The sequence below is a fragment of the Homo sapiens genome, chromosome 15 (genome assembly GCF_000001405.40).
Source record: "Homo sapiens chromosome 15, GRCh38.p14 Primary Assembly".
NCBI classification, from domain to species: Eukaryota; Metazoa; Chordata; class Mammalia; order Primates; family Hominidae; genus Homo; species Homo sapiens.
The window spans coordinates 51,893,390-51,916,872 of NC_000015.10; the positions used below are offsets into that span (position 1 = coordinate 51,893,390).

Below are 23,483 nucleotides of genomic sequence, written 5' to 3' on the forward strand. Positions count from 1 at the left end.
ATCTGTCCCCTTGAATAAATATGCGTGTATGAGAGAGAGAGAAAGAGATGTTACCAAGTCAATTATCTGCATGCACTGTAATAGTATCAACTCCAGGCTGAGCACAGTGGCTCCTGCCTGTAATCCCAGCACTTTGGGAGGCTGAGGCGGGTTGATACGAGGTCAGGAGATAGAGACCATCCTGGCTAACATGGTGAAACCCCGTCTCTACTAAAAATACAAAAAATTAGCTGGGCGTGGTGGCAGGCACCTGTAGTCCCAGCTACTCAGGAGGCTGAGGCAGGAGAATGGCTTGAACCCGGGAGGCGGAGCTTGCAGTGAGCCGAGATCGTGCCACTGCACTCCGGCCTGGGCGAAAGTGCGAGACTCCGTCTCAAAAAAAAAAAAATGGTATCAAATCCTGCTCTTTTCATTTATCACTGCAGATGTGGTCAAAGGTGAAAAGATTCTTCCGGTATTTGATGAGCCACCAAATCCAACCAATGTAGAAGAGAGTTTGAAGAGAACTAAAGAAAACGATGCTCATCTTGTTGAAGTTAATTTGAATAATATAAAGGTAAGTGTGCTAATCAGAGTGGTTTTGTATTGCTTTGAGTTAGTTGAACCTAGGATGAGAGCTGGGCAGTTGATAAAATAGTCTAATTCTTTCTACTTTAACGTAAAGTTTTTGCTCTTACCAGTATGCTAACATAGGTTTCTTCATATTTTAGATATTGAAGTATTATGGTATAGTATTTTCTAACTTGCTTTTTGAAGAATTTATCATCTAAAAATGTAAACCCTACAAACTGTCAGAATAAATCTCAGGTTTTCTAAATACTGCCCACTTCTAAGAACATTTAGCCTCTTGGGTCTTGCTTTTTTAAAATTCGGTTCCTTAGCCAGGTATGGTGGTGCATGCCTGTAATCCCAGCTACTTGGGAGACTGAGGCTGGAGGATGGCTTGAGCCCAAAAGTTTGAGACCAGCCTGGGCAACATAGTGAGACCTGCCACTGTCCCATCTCAAAAAATAAAATAAAACCTGTTTTTTTGAGGTAAAATTTAAATATGGTAAAATTCTCCCTTTTAGTGTCCAGTTCTATGAATTTTGACAGGTGCATACAATTTTGTACAACCACCATTACACTCAAGATATAGAATATATCTGTCACCGCAAAAGTTCTCTCATACCCCTTTGTAGTCATTCTCTGACCCCCAGCTCTAGCCCCTGACAACCACTGACCTATTTTCTTTCCCTATTATTTTGCCTTCTCCAGAATGTCATATAAATTGAATCCTATAGTATGTAGCCTTTTGGGTCTGGCTTCTTAGCATAATACATTTGAGATTGATTCATGGTGAGTGTGTCAGATACGCTGCAGTTTGTTTATCTGTTCATCAGTTGGAAGACATATGGGTTCCTTCCAGTTTGGGATGTTTATTAATACAGCCACTATATACTTTTCACACACAGGTTTTTGTGTGAACATGTTTTAAATTCTCTTGAGTAAACACCTAGGAATAGGCTTTCTGGGATCTTATTTTGAGTTTTAAACAATGCAACTCTTCCTTGGAGTAAGGAAAGAAGAAATTAGGAGGACATGGGGTAATTAATTACCAAAAAGTAAACTCAAATTATCTAGATATTAGCCATTGTGTAATGGCTTCATTATAAATTCCTCATTTTAAAACTTGATTTTTTTGAAGTCGAGGACAAGTGGAGGAGAGCATCTGGAAATCTTGAGCCTAGGGAAGGAAGCTTCTGTGCTCCTCTAGGGAGTGATCCTTCCTGTGAGTAGAGGAAGGAAAGCCTCAGAGAAAGCTTATATTCATAGTTGATTACTAACTTTTTTTTTTTTTTTTTTGAGACAGAGTCTTGCTCTGTTGCCCAGGCTGGAGTGCAGTGGTGCGATCTTGGCTCACTGCAACCTCTGCCCTGCCCCAGGTTCAAGCAATTCTTGTGTCTCAGCCTCCTGAATACCTGGGATTACAGGCATCCACCACCACACCTGGCTAATTTTTGTATTTTTAGTAGAGATGGGGTTTCACCATGTTGGCCAGGCTGGTTTTGAACTCCTGACCTCAAGTGATTCGCCCACCTTGGCCTCCCAAACTGCTGGGATTACAGGTGTGAGCCACTGCGCCCGGCCTATTTTTATTTTTTTTAATTTGGTCCCTGTGTATCCCTTTCTCTAAATAAACAGTAATCATCTGAAAATAACCAGGCTAGGGGGAATTGAAGTCTCAAGATACTACTGAGAGAAACCAGCATCTTCAGTATTTTCTCTCCTTCAAGTAGTGTAGGGTTAATCTCTCTTAGTGCTTTGTAGCTTAAACTAAGTGACTGAGAACAGTCTGTCTGCCTCAGGAATCGTACTCATCAGAGATGGACTCCTTCATTTCTTTCCTTGTAGAAAAGTAAATCCACTTTTATTTTCATATAAAAAGAATAATGAAGGCTGGGTGCAGTGACTCATGCCTGTAATCCCAGCACTTTGGGAGGCCGAGGAGGGTGGATCACCTGAGGTCAGGAGTTCGGGACCAGCCTGACCAACATGATGAAACCCCATCTCTCCTAAAAATACAAAATTAGCTGGACCTGGTGGTGCATGCCTGTAATCTCAGCTACTTGGGAGGCTGAGGCAGGAGGGTTGCTTAAACCTGGGAGATAGAGGTTGCAGTGAGCTGAGATTGCGCCGTTGCACTCCAACCTGGGCAACAAGAGCAAAACTCTGTCTCAAAATACATAAATAAATAAAAGGAATAATGAAAGGTGAGAATAATGAGAATTTTTTTTAACCTAAATGCTAGAGAAATGGTGATATGTGCTCTGCTCTGAGTCAGTAGTTTATGCAAATGCTCCATCGTAGATAAGTCAGATAATTATGGAGGAAGCTGCATTATTTGTATTCATTTGTAGACTAATTCTTAGGTGTTTGTATAATTTCTGAATACATTTTAAAGCAAAAAAAACCATATATTTGATTAATGGAAACTAAATATAATGAAAATTGAAATGTAATGATGTTTTATGTTATTGTCTTTCAAGAATATCCCAATTCCAACCCTAAAAGATTTTGCAAAGGCTTTGGAAACCAACACACATGTGAAATGTTTCAGTCTTGCAGCCACCCGGAGCAATGACCCTGTTGCTACTGTAAGTAAGCGACTTGAGAATATCAAAATTATGACATGCCCAGGGTGTGTTACAGTGGTGATTTTTATGAACAAGATTTACCCCTTTTTTATAGTTAATGTTTTAGCTCACTATTAGGCAGTATATTACTTACCAGCTTTTTGTGTTTATTTTTTCCTGTATTTCCTTCCTATGAATTTTTTCCCCCTCCCAGCTTCCCCCTCCTTCCTATGAATTTTTTAAAACATAAATGGAATCATGTAGTATATGCTGTTCTGCAACTTGATTTTTCACTCTGCAGTTTATCTTTAAAGTTTTGTTGTATCAATACATAGGGATCTACCACATTATTTTAACATCTTCAGAGGATTCCATTTATGGATCCTTAGTGGTGGATTTTTGTTAAATGCTTTTGCTGTGTCTCTTGAGATGTTCATATGGTTTTTGTCCTTTATTCTGTCAATGTGGTGTATTGATTGACTTTTATATGTTGAACCAGCCTTTCATTCCTGAGATAAATCCCACTTGATCATGGTATAAACCTTTTGTTTCATTGGCTTTGAGAATATCACTCACTCCCTTGGGGGCTCCCCTTACCTCAGTGGACATTCCTTCTCAAAGCCCTGTACTGGTTTCTCCATATCTCTTCAACTTCTAAATATTGGAATGGCCCAGAACGTGGTCCTTCTTTTCTCAGTCTACACTGACTTTCTGGGTAATCTCAGAAATATATATATTATCTTCATATACTTGCTGATGACTCCCAGTGTTATTATCTACAGTTTGTATCTCTCTCCTGAACTCCGTATTCATGTCCAGCTACCTCCTCAGCAGCTTTACTTGGATGTCTAATGGACATCTTACATGTAAGTCCTCAAACTCCTGACTTCCATCCTGTGCCTGCTTTTCTCTGCTGTTTTCTATCTTACTAAATGCAATTTCAATCTTTCATTGCTCAGGCAAACAAAAAAAAAAAATTTTTTTTTTTTTTTTTTTTGAGACAGCGTCTCACTCTGTTGCCCCGGCTAGAGTGCAGTGGCGCAATCTCGGCTCACTGCAACCTCCGCCTCCCGGGTTCAAGCGATTCTCCTGCCTCAGCCTCCTGAGTAGCTGGGATTACAGGCATGCGCCACCACGCCTGGCTAATTTTTGTATTTATAGTAGAGATGTGGTTTCACCATATTGGCCAGGCTGGTCTCGAGCTCCTGACCTTGTGATCCGCCCACCTCAACCTCCCAAAGTGCTAGGATTACAGGCGTGAGCCACCACGCCCAGCAAAAAAAAAAAAAAAAACAAAAAACTAATGGAATCATTCTCGACATCCCTTTCTTGCAACTTAAACCTACCTTTGGCCCTATCTTCAAAATATTTCAGAATCCAACCACTTCTCACCATTTTCACAACTACCACCTTGACCCAAGCCACCATCTTTTCCCACCTGGATTATTGCAACAGCCTCCTAATTGGGTTACCTTCATCTATTTTACCTACCCCAAAGTCAGTTCTTTACATAGCACCAAGAGTGATTCTTTTAAAACTTAAGTTAAATGACCTCATTCCTATTCGGATAACCCTCTAGCAGCTTCCCATCTCATTAAGAGTAAAAATAAAAATCTTTCAGTGGCCTTATAAGGCTTCACATGAGTGGACTTCATCTCATTTACTTGCCCTTTCTTTCATTCTACTCTAGCCATACAGCCTTCTTCAGCATGCCATGTGGACTCCCAAATCAGGGCCTGTACATTTGTTCCTTCTGCCTTGAACTTTCTTCCTAAAATAATCCACTTAGCTTTGTCTTATCACTTTGACTCTTTGCTCAAATGTCACCTTCTAGTTGAGGCTTTTCCTGACCGTGCTATATAAAATACCAACCCCATTCCCACCCCCAGTATTCCCCATCTACCCTATTGTGCCTTTTTTCTTTTTACCCTCTAACATTGCACTTTGCTTACTTTTATTATCTGTGTCCCTCCCCAGCTAGAATGAACATTCTGCCAGGCAGGGACCAATGTGTTTTATCTCTGAATCTCTAGGACAGTGCTAATCAAATAATAGACCATCAGTAATATTCGAATACATGTATGGATAAGGGATTTGTTCCAGGTCACATAGCTAGTTGTTGCTAATAGAAAGGACAAGTATGTAGATACCAGCCACAGTTTTTTTAGTATCTCTACGCCCTATTGCCTTTCCTTTAACTTTAAGCTTGGTCTTACCCATATTTTCTGTAGTTTAACCTTGCTTTTGATCCCTCTAAGGGGCTGTTTTATATAAACTCATGATCATTGTTCTTTTTTCTCTCTCTTTCCTTCCCCTCCTTCCTTCCCTTCTTCTCTCTTCCTACCTCTGTCTCTTTTTCTTTCCTTCCCAGTCTCCCTCCTCTTTCTTTTTTCACTTGTAGGCTTCTGTTAATTAATCAATATGGTACTTATTAAGCACTGAGTCAAATGTCTAACACTGTACTGTATCCTATGAGAAATGAAATAGAAGCAGATTGAAGACATACCATTACTTGAGGAATTTAATATTTTATTAGCCCCTTCTTCTCAATGGCCTTTGTGCTCTTCTGGTTCTGGTTATCTGTGTTCTTTTCTGGCCTTCTGCCTTGACCATTTCTTTTGGCCCCTGCCTTGGAAATTAGTACATAATTTACCCTCATTTTGGCTTCACATGATCCAGCTACAGCAAGACCCAAATAAGAAAAGATGTTACAGCGACATTGATGAAGTTGGTCTAACACAGAAACTGAAAGAGTGAGAGAGACAGAAGAAAGAAGCATGAAGTAGGGAATGAGGAGTAGAGAATGTCACCAACGGGGAATTACATGTGACCAAAAAATCAAAAGATTATGACTGGGTACATATGAAAAATAGGTACAGGCCAGGTGTAGTGGCTCACACCTGTAATCCCAGCACTTGGGGAAGCCGAGGTGGGTGGATTGCTTGAGCCCAGGAGTTTGAGACCAGCCTGGGCAACATGGTGAAACCCCATCTCTACAAAAAATACAAAAATTAGCCGGGCATGGTGGCACACAACTGTAGTCTCAGCTACTCAGGAAGCTGAGGTGGGAAGATCAATTGAGCCCAGGAGGCAGAGGTTGCAGTGAGCTGTGATCCTGCCACTGCACTCCAGCCTGGGTGACAGGGCAAGACCCTGTCTCAAAAAAAAAAAAAAGAAAGAAAAGTAGATACAGTCATCCATGGGTTCAACCAACTTCAGATCAAAAATATTTGGAAAAAAATTCTATGAATTTCCAAAAGCAAAATCTGAATTTGCTGTATGCCAGGTACTATGTTGAATCCACAAAAATGAAGTGATGTGTAGGCATTGTATTAGGTATATTAAGTAACCTAGAGGTAATGAAAAGTATACAGGAGCATGTGTGAAGGTTATATGCAAATACTATGCCATTTTCTATAAGGCACTTGAGCATCTGAAGATTTTGGTATCTGCAGATGGTCCTGGAACCAACCCCCAACAAATACTGAGGGACAACTGTACATGTGAGAGCTATGGGCTACTGTGTCAAACTGAAACAACTAATGACAAACATTAAGGCAGTTAATTAATGTATTTATTTATGGCATGTACAATATGTAGTAGGTACTGTATCAAATTTTAATCTCTTAATATTTTCTCTAATTTCTAGGCTTTTGCAGAAATGCTGAAAGTGAACAAAACTTTGAAGAGCTTAAATGTGGAGTCCAACTTTATCACGGGAGTTGGGATTCTGGCACTGATTGATGCGTTAAGAGATAATGAAACCCTGGCAGAGCTCAAGATTGACAATCAGGTCAATGTTCTACAATAATAACGTCGAGGAAGCTACAGCCCACGCTGCTGTGTAGGGCTTGGCGACTCAGGATGGGGATGGGAGGCGGGCTGTCAGGGATCCCTGTTGGAAGATGCTGGGCTGAAAGGAGAGCTGACATTTGGGGTATCTAGAATATTAACTCAGTGTATATAACAGTGTATACAATGTAAAGGTGTATACTCTCCCTAGATCATTTTAAGAGAATTTAGATGGCTATCTAGTTTGAACTGAGAGGACTCTTACATGTGACCTAGTCCACCTTCCAATTTTTCAGCTCTGTGCTGGCAAGGTCCACATTGTAGGGTTTTTGTAAAAGGCAGAGAGATACATGTTAGAAATGTTTCCATCCAGAGTAGCTATTAATTTTTTTATTTGAAAAAATAACTCCATTTATTTGAAAAAATATTTGTTAAATGTCTCCTTCAGTCCTTCAAAGTAAATACATTTTGTAAACTATGAAGGTGGAAAAGAGGATTATGTCTTAAAATTTAACCCAGTGCTTCATAATCCATGTTTTTCATTTTTTTATTGAGATATAATTACATACAGTAAAATTCATTTTCTTAAAGTATACAGCTAAATGGTTTTTAGTATATTTGTAGAGTTTTGCAGCCATTACCACTAATTCCAGAACATTTTCATTACCCCAAAAAGAAACCCCATACCCATTAGCAGTCACTCCCCATTCACCCCTCTCACCAGGCTCTGGCAATCACTCATCCACTTTCTGTTTCTTAGGATTTGCCTATTCTGGACAGCTTATATCTGTGGAATCAAACAATATTTGATCTTTTTGTGCCTGGCTTCTTTCACCTGGCATAATGTTCTGGAGGTTCATCTGTATTGTAGCATACATCAGGACCTCATTCTTTTATGACTGAATAATATTCTATTCCATTTGGGGTGTGTCCACATACGGGCCACTAGAAATAATGCTGCTGTGAACATTCATTACAAACTCTAACATGGACATAGATTTTCATTTCTCTTCAGTATATAGCTAGGAGTGTATTGCTGGGTCACATGGTAACTCTATGTTTAACTTTTTGAGCAGCAGCCAGTTTTCCACAGTAGCTGTACCATTTTACATTCCTCTCAGCAATGTCCCCATTTTTCCACATTCTTGCCAACACTTGTTATTATCTATCTTTTTTATTATACTTATCCTAGTGGGTATGAAGTGATATGTCATTATAGTAATTCACACTTTTTTGATGTCTATATGATCATATTACTGAACTTTAAAAAGTTTAGTGTGTGTGTGTGTGTGTGTGTGTGTGTGTGTGTGTGTGTATAAAGTTCCAGTGAGGCTGTGGTGATGATTGGGTCAATGGGTAAAATCCCCTTCCTGTGACAAACATTTCATAGCTTTAAGTGACCAGTTTTCTACAACAAACAATTTGTTCTCAGTTACAAATCAGTACTTGGAACTACTGAACTATGTATATGTTGTAGGAATTGGGAACATTTAAAGAGATCAAAGAATTAGCATGTGCCTGAATGTCTTAATTTACCTTGAAAAGTATTTTGATCTAGTTTATTAATATTGTTCTTTTTTTCTAATTACTCCAGAGGCAGCAGTTGGGGACAGCTGTAGAATTGGAAATGGCCAAGATGCTTGAGGAAAATACAAATATCCTTAAATTTGGATATCAGTTTACACAGCAGGGACCACGAACCAGAGCAGCTAATGCTATAACAAAAAACAATGACTTAGGTAAGACATAGTATCGATCAAGTTTCTGAGTTCTATCACAAGCTAACGTATTGGGGGAACTTCTTTCCCTCTTAAGAATAAATTCTAACAGAGAAGTTATTTGGCCTTTGTTTCTAAAATCTGCATGGTCCTTTATATACTGATTGAATTCAAGTTCAATTAAAGTGAGGTTGTGATGATTGGGTCAATGGGTAAAATCAGCTTCCTGTGACAAGCGTATTTCATAGTTTTAAGTGACCAGTTTTCTACAACAAACAATTTGTTCTCAGTTACAGATCAGTCCTTGGAACTATTGAAACAAAGATTTCAACATTATCGGAAAGTTTTTTGCCCTTTTAATCAAGCGGACCCAGATAGAAATTCAATTTTATATGATAGAATGTGGATATAGAAATATATAAAATAGAGAATAATTATATTTCTCACCCAGGTTTTTTGTTGTTGATTTTTTTTGAGACGGAGCCTCGCTGTGTTGCGAGGCAGGAGTGCAGTGGCGCCATCTCGGCACACTGCAACCTCCGCCTCCCAGGTTCAAGTGATTCTCCTCCCTCAGCCTCCCGAGTAGCTGGGACTACAGGCGTGCGCGCCGTGCCCAGCTAATTTTTGTATTTTTTTTTTTTTTTTTTTTTTTGAGACAGAGTCTTGCTCTGTCGCCCAGGCTGGAGTGCAGTGGCACGATCTCGGCTCACTGCAAGCTCCGCCTCCCAGGTTCACGCCATTCTCCTGCCTCAGCCTCCTGAGTAGCTGGGGCTACAGGCGCCCGCCACCTCGCCCGGCTAATTTTTTTTGTATTTTTAGTAGAGACAGGGTTTCACCGTGTTAGCCAGGATGGTCTCGATCTCCTGACCTGATGATCCACCCGCCTCGGCCTCCCAAAGTGCTGGGATTACAAGCGTGAGCCACCGCGCCCGGCCAATTTTTGTATTTTTAGTAGAAATGGGGTTTCACCATGTTGGCCAGGATGGTCTCAATCTCTTGACCTCACGATCCACCCGCCTCGGCCTCCCAAAGTGCTGGGATTACAGGCGTGAGCCACCGCACCTGGGCCCTCACCCAGGTTTTATAGTCTGGTATGTAGGTGTTTGCTCGTCTTCCTAAAAGGACTGTTGTGGAACTGTCTTCTCACTGCATACATCTAGGTCAGTAATCTCTCATTCTCCTATGGTTCCTATTTAATTGCTTGAGGCTTGTGGCTTCTGTTTGAAATAGACTTTCCAGCCAAGGCTGAATTAAAGAATATGGTACTTAGAATTTTATTTCTACATGTTTCCAAAAGTTGACTCTTTTAAATTAGGATGTTTGCCATTGAAGTATTTTTAAAGATGCATCTTAGACAAGAAGTAAAACAAGACTTCTCAAAAGGAGTGACATTTCAACGTGTTGCCATTCTCTTAAGCTTCAGCCATATTTGAGTTCCCATTCTGTAAAAGTTTCTGGAGCAGGAAAAAATAGCACTTCATTTCTTTAATCCAGATCACGTGGAAAATATTAGCTCAAACTCTTTCTGTCCTTTTTATGACTGTGGTTTCCCAGAAGAGATGTTAGCTGCTTGCTTTTGAAAATAGAAAATTGGTGTGTTTTGGTGTATTGTTGATTCCAAATGTAGTTTGCAAAGTCATGCTAATTGTTTTAGTATTGCTTCACTAGTTAGCTTCTATTTTTTCCTTCAGGCGTTTAATTTGGCTTCTTAGAGTAGCGTTTTAAGAGAACTTCATAAAGAAGTTCTAGCTGGACTTCATAAATAATTGGAAAGCTTTAAAAACACATAGATTATTGGCTTAAAATGGCTTTCTTCACCCCAAAAAGATGGTTGACCAGAGCCTCACGACCATCACATAACCCTACTTTGATAGATAATGAAGCCAAGTGCTCTATTGAATGTTTACTATGTTCTCATTAGTGCGCTACACAGCCACGAGCTACAGATACTGTTGTTCTCCTGTTATGCAGGATAAGCTGAGGCTCAAAGAAGTTAACTAACTTGCCAAAAAACACACTACAGAAAAGTGACAGAGCGAGTTTCCTTAGAAGTTCTGATTTAGTCTGTGATGGGATTTGGGTTGTAGGCATTTCACACTCAGAAACCCTGGCTTGTTTCTCCAGTATTGAGTGGATATTTGAGTTTCTGAGTTCATCATTGTTATACATCTTAAGCAGGTGTGCCCCATATGTCCTCTACTTATCACAGCATTTGTCCCATTTTTTAAATTGCCTTTTACTCAGAAAACTAATTATATGTAGTAGTCTTACTTCCAAAGACTATATGCTTTTTGAGGGCAGGGACTATGTTGTTGGCAGGGGCCATGTCCGACTATTGAATCCCAACTCTTTTAAAACCATGCCTGACACACAATAGGTACTTAAGAAAACTGGATTAAGTGAATAAATAAGTGGTAGAATTTGAACTCTCTCAAAGTTATAATTTTCTGGTACCTGAATAGCCATAAACTAAGCCAGAAGTATCCTCCATTTTTCCTCTCCTTGGAAACTACCTTAACAAGCCCCAACCAGCTCTGTTACTTACCTCCCTCCAGGAGGCAGGTGATTCCAGCAGCTGTCCCTCCAGGAGCTGTACAGTGAATGTCTATAAACGTCACGGCAGGGGCGCTGACCTTTGCAAGGCTTCAGCAGTTGTGCTTTTTTGTGAAGACTGTTTTGGTAGACACTTTGCCTGCATTTCTGTAAGAAAAGAAATGTCCAGTGTTAGAGTGAGGGAGATTTGGGCAAATGCAAGATGGGGTGTGGGGGGTGCAAATGAAAACCACTTCCTAGGCTGCTTTATGTTGTCTCTGAGCAATTGAATAGCCGTGCACAGTGGTGTGTGATAGAGGAAGAGAAGACCATGTTGAAGAAGCTGTGTTCTGACCCAAAGCAGAAGCGAGAGAAAGCAAGCAGCTTTGTTCCGGGAACTCTCTAGACTCCCAGTTACACTGTTTCATTCTGATCCAAACTAGATTTTCAAACGTGGGTCTCATGCATGAAATGACAATAAGCACATTCCTGGATAGGGCAATTACAGATAAAAGCTCAAATTTGAGAGCAAGCAAGTTATTTATATGCTGATGGCAGCCTGTGGATTTTAAGAACTGACTCATATCATGATGCTGGCTCCTGAATAAACTTTCAATGAGTACTTGTTGTTTAAAGCTAACATTTAAAAAGTGGTATCAGCAGATTGAGGCCGGGTGCAGTGGCTCACGCCTGTAATCCAAGCACTTTGAGAGACCAAGGTGGGTGGATCACCTGAGGTCAGGAGTTTGAGACCAGCCTGGCCAACATGGTGAAACTAAAAATACAAAAATTAGCCAGGTGTGGTGGCAGGTACCTGTAATCCTAGCTACTCGGGAGGGTGAGGCATGAGAATTGGTTGAACCCAGAAGGCGGAGGTTGCAGTGAGCCGAGATTGCACCACTGTACTCCAGCCTGGGCTACAGAGTGAGACTTTGTCTAAAAAAAAAAAAAGTGATATAAATAAATTTAAGAGGGAGTGTTGGTAGAATACACTGAAATTACATGGTTAAAGAACTTTGATTTATTTGGATTTTATGCAGAAGGCATTAGAGAGCCATTAGAGGCCACCGAATACATGATTAAGATACTTCAAAAACAAAAACTGCTCTTATTGCTCTATTAGAGTTAGAAAATGAAGTTAGTTAGGACATTCGCAATTAACTAATGGTGGCGTATTGACAACTTATATCAGTGGAGTGTGTTTTGGTAACAAGGTGAAACCCCGTCTCTACTAAAAATACAAAAAATTAGCTGGGCGCGGTGGCGGGCGCCTGTAGTCCCAGCTACTCGGGAGGCTGAGGCAGGAGAATGGCGTGAACCCGGGAAGCGGAGCTTGCAGTGAGCCGAGATTGCGCCACTGCAGTCCGCAGTCCGGCCTGGGCAACAGAGCGAGACTCCGTCTCAAAAAAAAAAAAAAAAAAAAAAAAAAAAAAGAAATTGGACCAGATCCAAAGAATTGTTAATAGGGCAAAATTTATAAGCCTGCCATCTAGAGGATGAGCTGAGGAATTGCTGGAAGGTAACAAGTGAGCACCAGGTGAGAAAGAGGGGTCAGAAATGGCCCGTTGCCCCATTGTCCTCTGTTGTGCACACAGCGGCAGCAACCTCTCATTCTTCTGCTCAGCTTAACTTTTTTTCAGCTGTATACTCTGACCTCTGCCTAATAGATAAAGATTGAAAAGCCTGAAGACCATGTTTTCTGACATATTGGTCTCAGCAGCCTGATATGTACTAACTCAAAAGAGATAATCAAAGAACAAGACTTGAAACTTGTACAGAATCTCCTGGGCATATAGTTCTTTTTCACCTTGTAGATGGGGCTTTATCAGATCTTTGAGTTCTGATTTTGATAACATCGTTCCCTCTCTCATTGTTTTCTTAGTCTCAGCTATTCATTGAAATAATTCTACCTGCTCTCCATCTCTCCAGCTAAGAAGTGTCACAGCTGTAACAGCAAAGAGGTTCTATGGTATACATGCAATATTCTATTTACCTTTGAGTCTCACATTACTATCTTTACACTAGTTAACTGCATATTCCATTTTCTAGACCTTTTTTGTTTGCTGCACTCTGTCCTGTAGATCTTTTCTATAACATGCATTATAGCATCTGAAGTGGTATGCCAGTAACATCCAAACCCTGCTGCAATTCAAAATTTTCGTTGAAATGTTCTACCCTAAAGAATTATCTGGGCTGGGCGCAGTGGCTCACGCCTGTAATCCCAGCACTTTGGGAGGCTGAGGCAGGCGGATCACCTGAGGTCAGGAGTTCGAGACCAGCCTCAACATGGAGAAACCCCGTCTCTACTTTAAAAAGTACAAAATTAGCCAGGTGTGGTGTTGCATGCCTGTAATCCCAGCTACTCGGGAGGCTGAGGCAGGAGAATTGCTTGAACCTGGGTGGTAGAGGTTGCGGTGAGCCGAGATCGCGCCATTGCACTCCAGCCTGGGCAACAAGAGCGAAACTCCGTCTCAAAAAAAAAAAAAAAAAGAATTATCTGAAGTTTGCCTTTCAGACATTTCTATATTTTTCAGAGATCTATATACATGATTTGATATTTGAGGGCTCAAGTCTCCATTTAATTTTTTTTCTTAATACTTCAGTGAACACATGAAACTTGTCTTTGTTAGCATGGATTAAAATTAGAGTCGGTTGCTTGCTTTGACAGCACATACACTAAAATTGGAATGATACAGAGAAGATGAGCATGGCCCCTTGCAAGGATGACACAGACATTCATGAAGCAATCCCTATTTTTATTGAGTTCTGGCAAAAAATAAATAAAATAAACTTAAGAGTCAGGCGAACTTAATTAGATAGTTATAAAAATGTTCGTGGGAACCTGATACTTTAGTCCTTCTGGTTTTATTTTCAAGCAAGCACCCAGCCTATGGCTGAACAAGATTTTATATACGTCATCTGAACGTATGGTCTTATCTATTAAAGGCCGACAAACAGAAGTCAGCAGTCAGAAGAGCACAAGAGCAGAGTGTCTATGGCCTGGCCAGGACACCAGGTGTACCTGTTGGCTTCTAGTTCCTCTGTCAAACAGCCAATTTAGGCCAAAGTACACACTACAGAAGTGACAGAGCCATGATTCACTCTATTTGTCATCAACTCTGGAACCTGTGGTTTTTGTCCTCTCTAGGAGCCGGCCACAATGCTGATAGCCCTGAATTGGTGGCCCTCAGTGAATGCTCTCTAGTGGCTGATAGGTGAGAGCGCAGGTAGCAAGATCTGAAGTTGAAGACCTTGTTCTGCTACTAGAGAACACCCCTGAGTAGTTTGACATCACCAGTCCAGGAAGAGGCTGGTAGTCTCAGATACATACATGTACCGTTCTTTGCTGTAAAAGCTGAGCTAGTTGACTGGCCACTTAGGCAGCCAAAGTTTATGGTAGCCGGAAGTGACCACACCATATTACCAGGGTCTGAGATTTTCATTACTTTGCATTTGTTGTTTTATCAGACCCTGAACTGGTTTATATTACAGGAGACAAAAGAAGGAAAATTCAGAAAGCAGTAGCAAATCACTTACCTATAAAAATGACAAAAATGTTTTTGGTATATTCTTTTACAGCCTAAGGAAATACATTGTAGTGTCTAATCAGGAGAGCATGCAAATAGTTACTTTTAATATGTTCTAACCCCAGCTGCCTGAATGTCACTTCAAAATTTAACACACTAATTTATTAGCTGTTTTTTAAAACCTGAGTATGTACTTTTTCAGTAAACAAATGACTTGGGCTGGACGCAGTGGCTCACACCTGTAATCCCAGCACTTTGGGATGCTGAGGCGGGCAGATCACTTGAGCTCAGGAGTCCAAGACCAGCCTAGGCAAGATAGTGAGACCTAATGTCTGTTTTATTAATAAATTACAAAGTTAAAAATAAACAAAAACAAATGACTTGTAGATGATTGCTGACCATTCTGTTTTAGATTTCTAGTGCTGCTGCTGTGTAAGCACAGCTATGAGTCATTGAGCTTAGGGCATGTAATTCTTTTGTTGAAGCCCCTTGGTTCTCAACAAGTAAATGACAGTGGTGAATGATGGGAAGTAGGTTGTTTTTTTTTTTTTTTTAATTAGTGGTCATGTGAACTGGAAATGGACATTTCAATTTTGTAAAACTTATAACTGGATTATGCAGAAACTTGCTTGTTATAAGCAAGTTACCATTGTAAAAACTAATAGGGATTTCTAACATAGTTTCTTTTATTTTTCTCATAGTGCGTAAGAGACGAGTTGAAGGAGATCACCAGTAAGTCTGCAAAGGTGTAATCTTTGGAAGACTTCAGAAGATCACCAAGGGCTCATGTTGGTGACATCATGTAAAATTTTCCTGGGTAGAAGGGAAAAGACTGGAAAAATTTTTTTAGTGACATGCATTTTTTTTTTAGTTGTTATCAAATTGTAAAATCAGTAATGTGATATTTTATATTCTGAAACATTTCTACTTTCTGCTAAAATCAATTTTAATTTAGTTTAATTGAATGATTTATGATGAATCTTGGGCAAAAAAATACAACTGTAAAAAATTTCACAGGTCATTTGTGTAGAATAATTTGAACATTGTGAGGACCAATCTTTTTTAAATCAAAAGGGATGTTGCTGGTATCAGAATTGTTATTGCTTCATTTAGACATAAAACACTTAAGTGTTTTCTTCACTCCGTGACCTGGAGAGTTTTCCATTTTTTAAAATACATGAACTTGGCAAGGGTGTGATTTTTCTTTATCAAGAGAACAAAATGCCAGAATGTTAAAACAGTTAACTCAAAATCTAGTCATCTGTGTAGGAGCTAAAGCAGGTCTCCAGGGAGAGAGGGTGGTCGTCTGTGCATTCCAGGTTACTGCACTTGTCTGATGTGACGTAGCAACACCCAGGTCTTCTTAAAACAAAGTCATCAGCTTTGCCAGGTTACATACTTTATTTAAAAGTATAGTGAGGTCGAAGTTCATTCCAGTGTTTCATTTTAATAATGTGGGCATTATTAAATTTTTGTGGAAGCTAATAGTAAAAAATAAAAGCTGTTTTCACCACCTCCCTCCCCACCCCCCAAAAAAGGCGTACAGCCAACTCTTAGTTATTTAGGGTAAGAGAAAAAAGAAAACTGTTAAACAATGAAATCAAAGATAATAAATATGATAGATTTCCAGTATGAGGCACTTGCAAAACAGTCATTTAAACTGATGGTTACTGTAAGTCAGTTGGAAGCTGGCATGTATGTAAATTACTTGGTGTTACACCATATCCGAAGAAGTTCCTATGTGCAGTGCAGAATTGCATAAACAGTATTTAATCACTGCTACAAATCTTCCAACCAAGAAGGAAAACTGCTATTCTTCATAAATCTAATTTTTAGTATATGCTTCCTTTCATCTTATACTTTTATCAATATTTATAAAAGTCATTTCTATAATAAAAGCAGTCTTTCTTGCTCAAAGTATTAAGGTGAACAATTGAATAGAGTACTGTGGTCGGGAGACTGATTTGAGACTGCAGAGCTGATGCTGGGTAGAGGGTCTGGACTTGTATTCATGTTCTGTCTCAGGGCAGCCCCTGGAGCAGGAGATGGCAGAGGCATTTACAGCTGCAGAAAACAGGGAGGAATGGAATCTGAGGTAGCCCTGGCCTCAAAATTCAGGCCTGGCTGTATCATTTACAGAGATTTTTCTGGAGGGAAAAGTCTCATTTCTGAGGAAGGCAAGGTGGCTAATCATTATTAATTTTTTTTAAACTTTTTGGGCCGGGCGCAGTGGCTCACGCCTGTAATCCCAGCACTTTTGGGAAGCCAAAGTGGGTGGATCACTTAAGGTCAGGAGTTCAAGACCAGCCTGGCCAACATGGTGAAACCCTGTCTCTACTAAAAATCAAAAAAGTAGCCGGGTGTGGTGGTGCACACCTGTAATCCCAGCTACTCAGGAGGCTGAGGCAGGAGAATTGCTTGAACCTGGGAGATGGAGATTGCAGTGAGCTGAGATCGTACCACTGCACTGCAGTCTGGGTGACAAAGCAAGACTCTGTCTCAAAAAACAAACAAACAAACAAACTTTTTGAAATTGAATTGCAATATGTCTGCTACTTTGGCTTGGGCTGGACAGTTTATCTAATAAGCAAGGCAGCTTCTTGTGTGCTATGGTAATAAGCCTTCTTAACAGGCTAAGCTTCCCTCATAAGAACTGTGGTGTTTCTCTTTTTTTTTTTTTGTTTTGGTTTGTTTTGGTTTTTTGGTTTTGTTTTGTTTTGTTTTTTAAATCAGTATCCAATGTTTTATAGGGGCCAAAGGTTAACTTTGCACTATTCCCTGTCAGTTAAAGGCCACTGATATTTTTCTAAGTTAGCAAGGCTCACTTGCTTGCTTTCTTGCCTCCCTTGCCTCCATCCCTCTCCCTTCCTACCTTCTCTATTTACCTATTTCTCTCCCTCCCTCTCTTCTCCTCTCTTTTTTTTTCCCCGCATATGCAGCTTTTTGATTGTACTTGATTTTATAGAGACTGCACAGTTCCAGCAAGATTGGGAGTCAGGCATGGAGCAGGCATCTCAGGCTACCAGAAAGAATTGGTCACCTAGACTTTCAGTCAGGCATCCTCGTTTGCATTGTCCTGTAAGTCAATTAGTTGATAAATAGTTCCCCCTTCATCCCTTAAGTTTTGTTTTTGTTTTTGTTTTTAATATAGGTAAGTGGGACTCTACCTAAAATTTTGCATCATACTTATGGGTAATATCTTTTTCATATATTATTTATCAAAGTATGAAGTTGAGTATTTTGCTTGTACCATTTCAATTCTGCATTATAGTAGTTCATTGTATAACTGAAAGAAATGATTTCTTCATAAGTGACATTAAATATGAACATTCATCCAATTGAATTTACAAAATCTTTCCAAAATTATAAGGGAGAAAAATCGGGTTTACTTCAATCTTTAAAAATCTGGCACCTCTTAGTAACTTTCAGTATTTCTAAATTGCTCTAAAATTTTATAATAAATAGATTAGGGTTTTGCAATAGTCTTAATTTTTAAGCCAAAGGTTTTCTGAGACCTTAGGTTTTGTAGTCTAACCAGCTTATGTGGTTATTTAAAAGAATATTCTTTGTGTTTTTAAATTGCTATTTTTAAAAAAGCTTTTTATTACCCATTTTATAAAATGTTATACTCATATTTGTCTGAATTTTTCCAGTATTCCTACATGAAATTGTATGTATTAAAAACTCAATATTAGTGGCAAATATTAATACTATTAAAATGGATTTTGGTGCTATATTCTTGTAGCTAAAGCCTAGTAGAATTCTCAAGAATAGGTGAAATACACTTTCAAAGTTGCCTGTCATTTAAAAGACCAAATAAGCATTTTGTATTAAATAAATTAGCAGATGGTTAGAGACTTCAAGGAGAGTTAGCTTGGTCATTTAATTGCGACTTCATGTTATTTGATTGAAATAACCCACATCCTTGCTTTGTATAAGATATTCGCTCTGGAGAAGTTACATGTAAATAGAATTCTATAAATTGTTTTCCAGTTGACCGAGTATCTGTTGTGTTTTTGTTTAAAAAGAGGATTCCATGACATAATAAAAATTATTTTAAAAAATGTTTTGGGCCGGGTGCGGTGGCTCACGCCTGTAATCCTAGCACTTTGGGAGGCCGAGGTGGGCGGATCACCTGAGGTCAGGAGTTCGAGACCAGCCTGACCAACATGGAGAAACCCTGTCTCTACTAAAAATACAAAATTAGCCAGGCGTGGTGGCACACACCTGTGATCTCAGCTACTCGGGAGGCTGAGGCAGGAGAATCACTAGAACTCGGGAGGCGGAGGTTGCAGTTAGCTGAGGTCGCGCCATTGCACTCCAGCATGGGCAACAAGAGTGAAACTCCGTCTCAAAAAAAAAAAAATTTTTTTTTTTTTATAAAATGTTACTCATATCATATTGTACGTTATATTTAACTCTTGCTGTCATTAAAATAAGATGACAACATTTATGAAGTTTTATAAAATCTTACATTTTAGGGTCTGTGTTCCCAGGGCTGCCTCACTTTTTCCCTAAAAAACTAGGAACCACTGTTAACCTCCCAGCAGATGCAAGGATCATGCTTTCTCTGGAGTCCTTAGTCACTTCCATTCTTTGCAAGTTTAGTACTGCCCAAATTTACTCATTCTACAGTGTTACTGCACTTTGAACGTATTGACCCATGTCACCCAAGAGAAGCAAACATATGGATGCACTAGAGACAACTCGGGTTGCTGCTCTCAGTTAAGGGCTATGAGTTCTTGGGGTCTAAGTATCTGTAAAATTATCCTCTCCATCAGCTCTCACTGATCATTAATGTTTCTGGATATTTCTTACCCTAAGATTTGCTTACCAACAAATCAAAGAAACGCTTCACTAATTATTTTTAAATTGAGAAAATAGTATTCAGAGGCAAAGATTTTTATATTCTTTTTTGAGACCAAGTCTCACTCTGTCATCCAGGCTGGAGTGCAGTGGTGCGATCTCAGCTCACTGCAGCTTCCACCTCCCAGATTCAAGTGATTCTCCTGCCTCAGCCTCCCAAGTAGCTGGGATTACAGGCGTCCGCCACCACGCCCGGATAACTTTTTGTATTTTTAATAGAGACGGGGTTTCACCATGTTGGCCGGGCTGTTCTCAAAGTGACCTCAGGTGATCCACTCGCCTCGGCCTCCCAAAGTGCTGGGATTACAGGCTTGAGCCACCACACTCAGCCTTATTCTTATATTTTAATTTGGTCATTCTTAGATCTACAGATTGAACATCCCTAATTGAAAACTTTTTGAGTACTAACATAGTGTTCAAAGGAAATGCTTATTGGAGCATTTAGAATTTCAGATTTTCAGATTAGGGATGCTGAACTGGTGTAATGCCCAGTATTCCAAAATCCAAAATAATTTGAAATCTGAAACACTTAATGGTCCCAGCATGTTGGATAAGGGATACTCAACCTGTATTGATTTTTCTCCACTATAATTCAGTTCTATAAGTTCTTCCCTATAAAAAATGAATGAATTAGAAATTTGATAATAAAACATATTTTATTAATTTTAAACTCTATCTTGCAGTCTGATCATTCAGAAAGGTCAACCTAGAAAAAAGACATGGCTAAGTAAACTATTTTAAGCCATAACTAAGTATTTTGGAAAGCCTTCATTAACACATAAAGAATTTTGGCCAAGTACTGTGGCTTATGCCTGTAATCCTAGCACTTTGGAAAGCCGAGGCCGACGGATCACTTGAGCTCAGGAGTTTGAGACCAACCTGCGTAACATGGTGAAACCCCATATCTACAAAAAGTACAAAAATTAGCTGGGTGCGGTGGCGCATGCCTGTAGTCCCATCTACTCGGAAGACTGAGGCAGCAGAACCGCTTGAGCCTAGGAGGTGGAGGTTGCAGTAAGATGAGATCATGCTGCTGTACTCTAGCCTGGGCAATGAGAGTGAAACTCTTATCTCAAAAAAAAAAAAAAAAAAAGAGCTATACTCATAGTACTTTGGGAGACCAAGCAGGGAGGATTACTTGAGACCAGGAGTTTGAGACTACCATGGACAACATAGCAAGACCCCATCTTTACAAAAAATTTAAAAATTAGCCAGACACCTATAGTACCAGCTACTTAGGAGTCTAAAGTGGGAGAATTGCTTGAGCCTGGGAGGTTGAAGCAGCAGTGAGCTTTGATCATGCCACTGCATTCCAGCCTGGGTAACAAGAGTGAGACTGTCTCAAAAAACAAAACAAAACAAAAAAATGGGTTTTTTTGTTGTTGTTTTTGTCTTTTACTTAGGACACCTGCTCTAGAGGCTAGATAAAAATAGATTGTAATGGCCGGGTGCAGTGGCTCACACTTGTAATCCCAGCACTGTGGAGGCTGAGGTGGGCGGATCACTTGAGGTCAGGAGTACGAGACCAGTCTGGCCAACATGGTGAAACCCCATCTCTACTAAAAATACAAAAAATTAGTTGGGCGTGGTGATGCGCACCTGTAATTCTAGCTACTTGGGAGCCTAAGGCAGGAGAATCACTTGAACCTGGGAGGCAGAAGTTGCAGTGAGCCGAGATTGTGCCATTGCACTCCAGCCTGGGTGACAGAGTGAGACTCCATCTCAAAAAAATATATGTATTAAGAAATACCACCAGCAGTGTTTTGCTAACATAGCTGTAACAAATTATTAAGTTCTTTTTTTTTTTTAAGATGGAGGTTCACTCTTGTCGCCCAGGCTGGAGCGCAATGGTGCGATCTCAGCTCACTGCAACCTCCGCCTCCTGGGTTCAGATGATTTTCCTGCCTCAGCCTCCTGGGTAGCTGGGACTACAGGTGCCCGCCACCACGCCTGACTAATTTTTGTATTTTCAGTAGAGACGGAGTTTCACCATCTTGGCCAGGCTGGTCTCGAACTCCTGACCTCGTAATCCACCCGCCTCGGCCTCCCAAAGTGCTGGGATTACAGGTGTTTGCCACCGCGCCCAGCCCAAATTATTACATTCGTAAGACAGACACCTCTTAGAATCTATATATATGAGGTTTTACTCCCTTTTCTACACTCAGTATGTTTTAATTGATGCAAAGCAATTAATTGGCCTAAAATGTTTCAAATATTATAGTCTATACATTCAGAAAGTAAGGTTTAAGAATGAATTATTGGTGCTTCTTGGTGGGTGTATATAGCAGTTTTTAGAAGTTTAAATTTCACCTCTACTCAGAAAGATAAGCTTTTGATTCAGTGGTTTCAAATTTTCAGATCAATCCATTTAAGAATTGTTTTTTCAAATGTATATACACGTATAACATAAAAATTTTTGTAATTTCAAATGTCTTTTTTTCAGTTTTTTGGATGAATTATTATATTTGGTTTTAGTTACATTTAAAAGCTTGAAAATTACCTTTCTAACAATCATTTGAATGTCATTCATTGTCACATGAAATCAGGTATTTACGTTTTTTTCTAATGCTAAAATATCCAACATTGTAATTGCCCTATTTTTCCATTTTTATAAGTATAAAAGCAATGAATTTTAACACTGGTATTTAAATAATACAAAATATTATCCAAATTCATAACAGCACAGTGAAGTTTCTTTTGAAGACTATGTACTGGAAGCATTTAGAACTTACCAATATATACTGGGATAAATCGTTTCAATAAAGTTTATCAAATATTCTGTAAACTTGGACTTTTTGAAAAAGCACATAATCCCTTTAGTTCCTAAGTTCTAAAATTCATTCCTTACATCCTTCTTCAAGAAAAAGTTTATCAGTTTCCCTGAGTTATTCAGTCCTACCTGTTATGGACTGAATGTTTGTATCCACACCCGCCCCCCCACCCCAAATTCACATGTTGAAGCCCTAACCTCCAATGTGATGGTATTTGGAGATGGGGCCTTTGGAAGGTAATTAAGGCTAGATAGGGTCACAAGGTTGGTCCCCTTATGATGGCATTTGTGTTCTTATACAAAGAGACAGGAGACTCTCTCCATCATGTGAAGATACAGCAAAACAGCAGCTGTCTGCAAGCCAGGAAGGGAACCCTCACCAGGAACCAAACCATGATCTCGGACGTCCCAGCCTCTAGGAACGTAAGCAATAAATTTCTGTTATTTAAGCCACCCAGTCTATGGTATCTTGTTAGGACAATCTGACCTGGCTAAATACCACCATATTAAGTTGAATCATATAAAATTAGTTATAATAGTTGAACACTTTTACTCATAAAAATAGTAATTTCCTAAGGTTCAACCTAATATCATCAGTACTAGGTCCTGTCTGTTCATAAAATTGAATTGAGTTGACAAATACGCAAAGAGCAGGGTCGGACAGGTGCGGTGGCTCACGCCTGTAATCCCAGCACTTTGGGAGGCCGAGGCAGGCGGATCACCTGAGGTGAGGAGTTCAAGACCAGCCTGGCCAACATGGTGAAACTCTGTCTCTACTAAAAATACAAAAATTAGGCAGGCATGGTGGTGCATGCCTGTAGTCCCAGCTACTCAGGAGGTTGAGGCAGGAGAATAACTTGAACCCAGGAGGTGAAGGTTGCAATGAGCTGAAATCGCGCCACTGCACTCCAGCCTGGGCAATAGAGTGAGACTCTGTCTTAAAAAAAAAAAAAAAGAAAAGAAAAGAGCAGGGTCCTGTGATACAGTACACTCTGAACCTGATGGGAACCAGTCCTTCTAATAAACTAGAGATGGCTTTTACAGTAAAGCAAAGACATCTCTTATCAATCACCTATATCCATGAATCAAAAGAGAAAACCAGGTCAGGCATGATGGCTCACACCTGTAATCACAGCATTTTGGTAGGTTGAGGTGGGCAGAT

General features: G+C 39.8%; 1 protein-coding gene and 1 pseudogene across 1 annotated transcript in view, besides 1 other annotated feature; both read left to right on the forward strand.

Annotated features, from left to right (window-relative positions):
• The window catches only part of TMOD3 (tropomodulin 3), an 86,073-nt gene extending 63,737 nt beyond the window's left edge, over positions 1-22,336 (forward strand). The window contains exons 6-10 of the mRNA NM_014547.5: positions 426-556; positions 3,030-3,137; positions 6,766-6,909; positions 8,503-8,647; positions 15,387-22,336. Of these exons, the coding sequence (NP_055362.1) occupies positions 426-556; positions 3,030-3,137; positions 6,766-6,909; positions 8,503-8,647; positions 15,387-15,421 (563 nt within the window). The 3' untranslated portion in view covers positions 15,422-22,336. The remainder of the gene's footprint in view (positions 1-425; positions 557-3,029; positions 3,138-6,765; positions 6,910-8,502; positions 8,648-15,386) is intronic.
• Positions 13,811-13,916, forward strand: RNU6-90P (RNA, U6 small nuclear 90, pseudogene; annotated as a pseudogene).
• Positions 14,969-15,138: an enhancer, noted in NCBI's record as "experimental_39679 CRE fragment used in MPRA reporter constructs". NCBI's record gives its function as "activates a minimal promoter by MPRAs in K562 erythroleukemia cells, with activity observed for both the introgressed and non-introgressed 15:52200640 variant alleles {active_cell/tissue: K562}" and the evidence as "EXISTENCE:reporter gene assay evidence [ECO:0000049][PMID:34662402]".
• Positions 22,337-23,483: the final 1,147 nt, after the last annotated feature.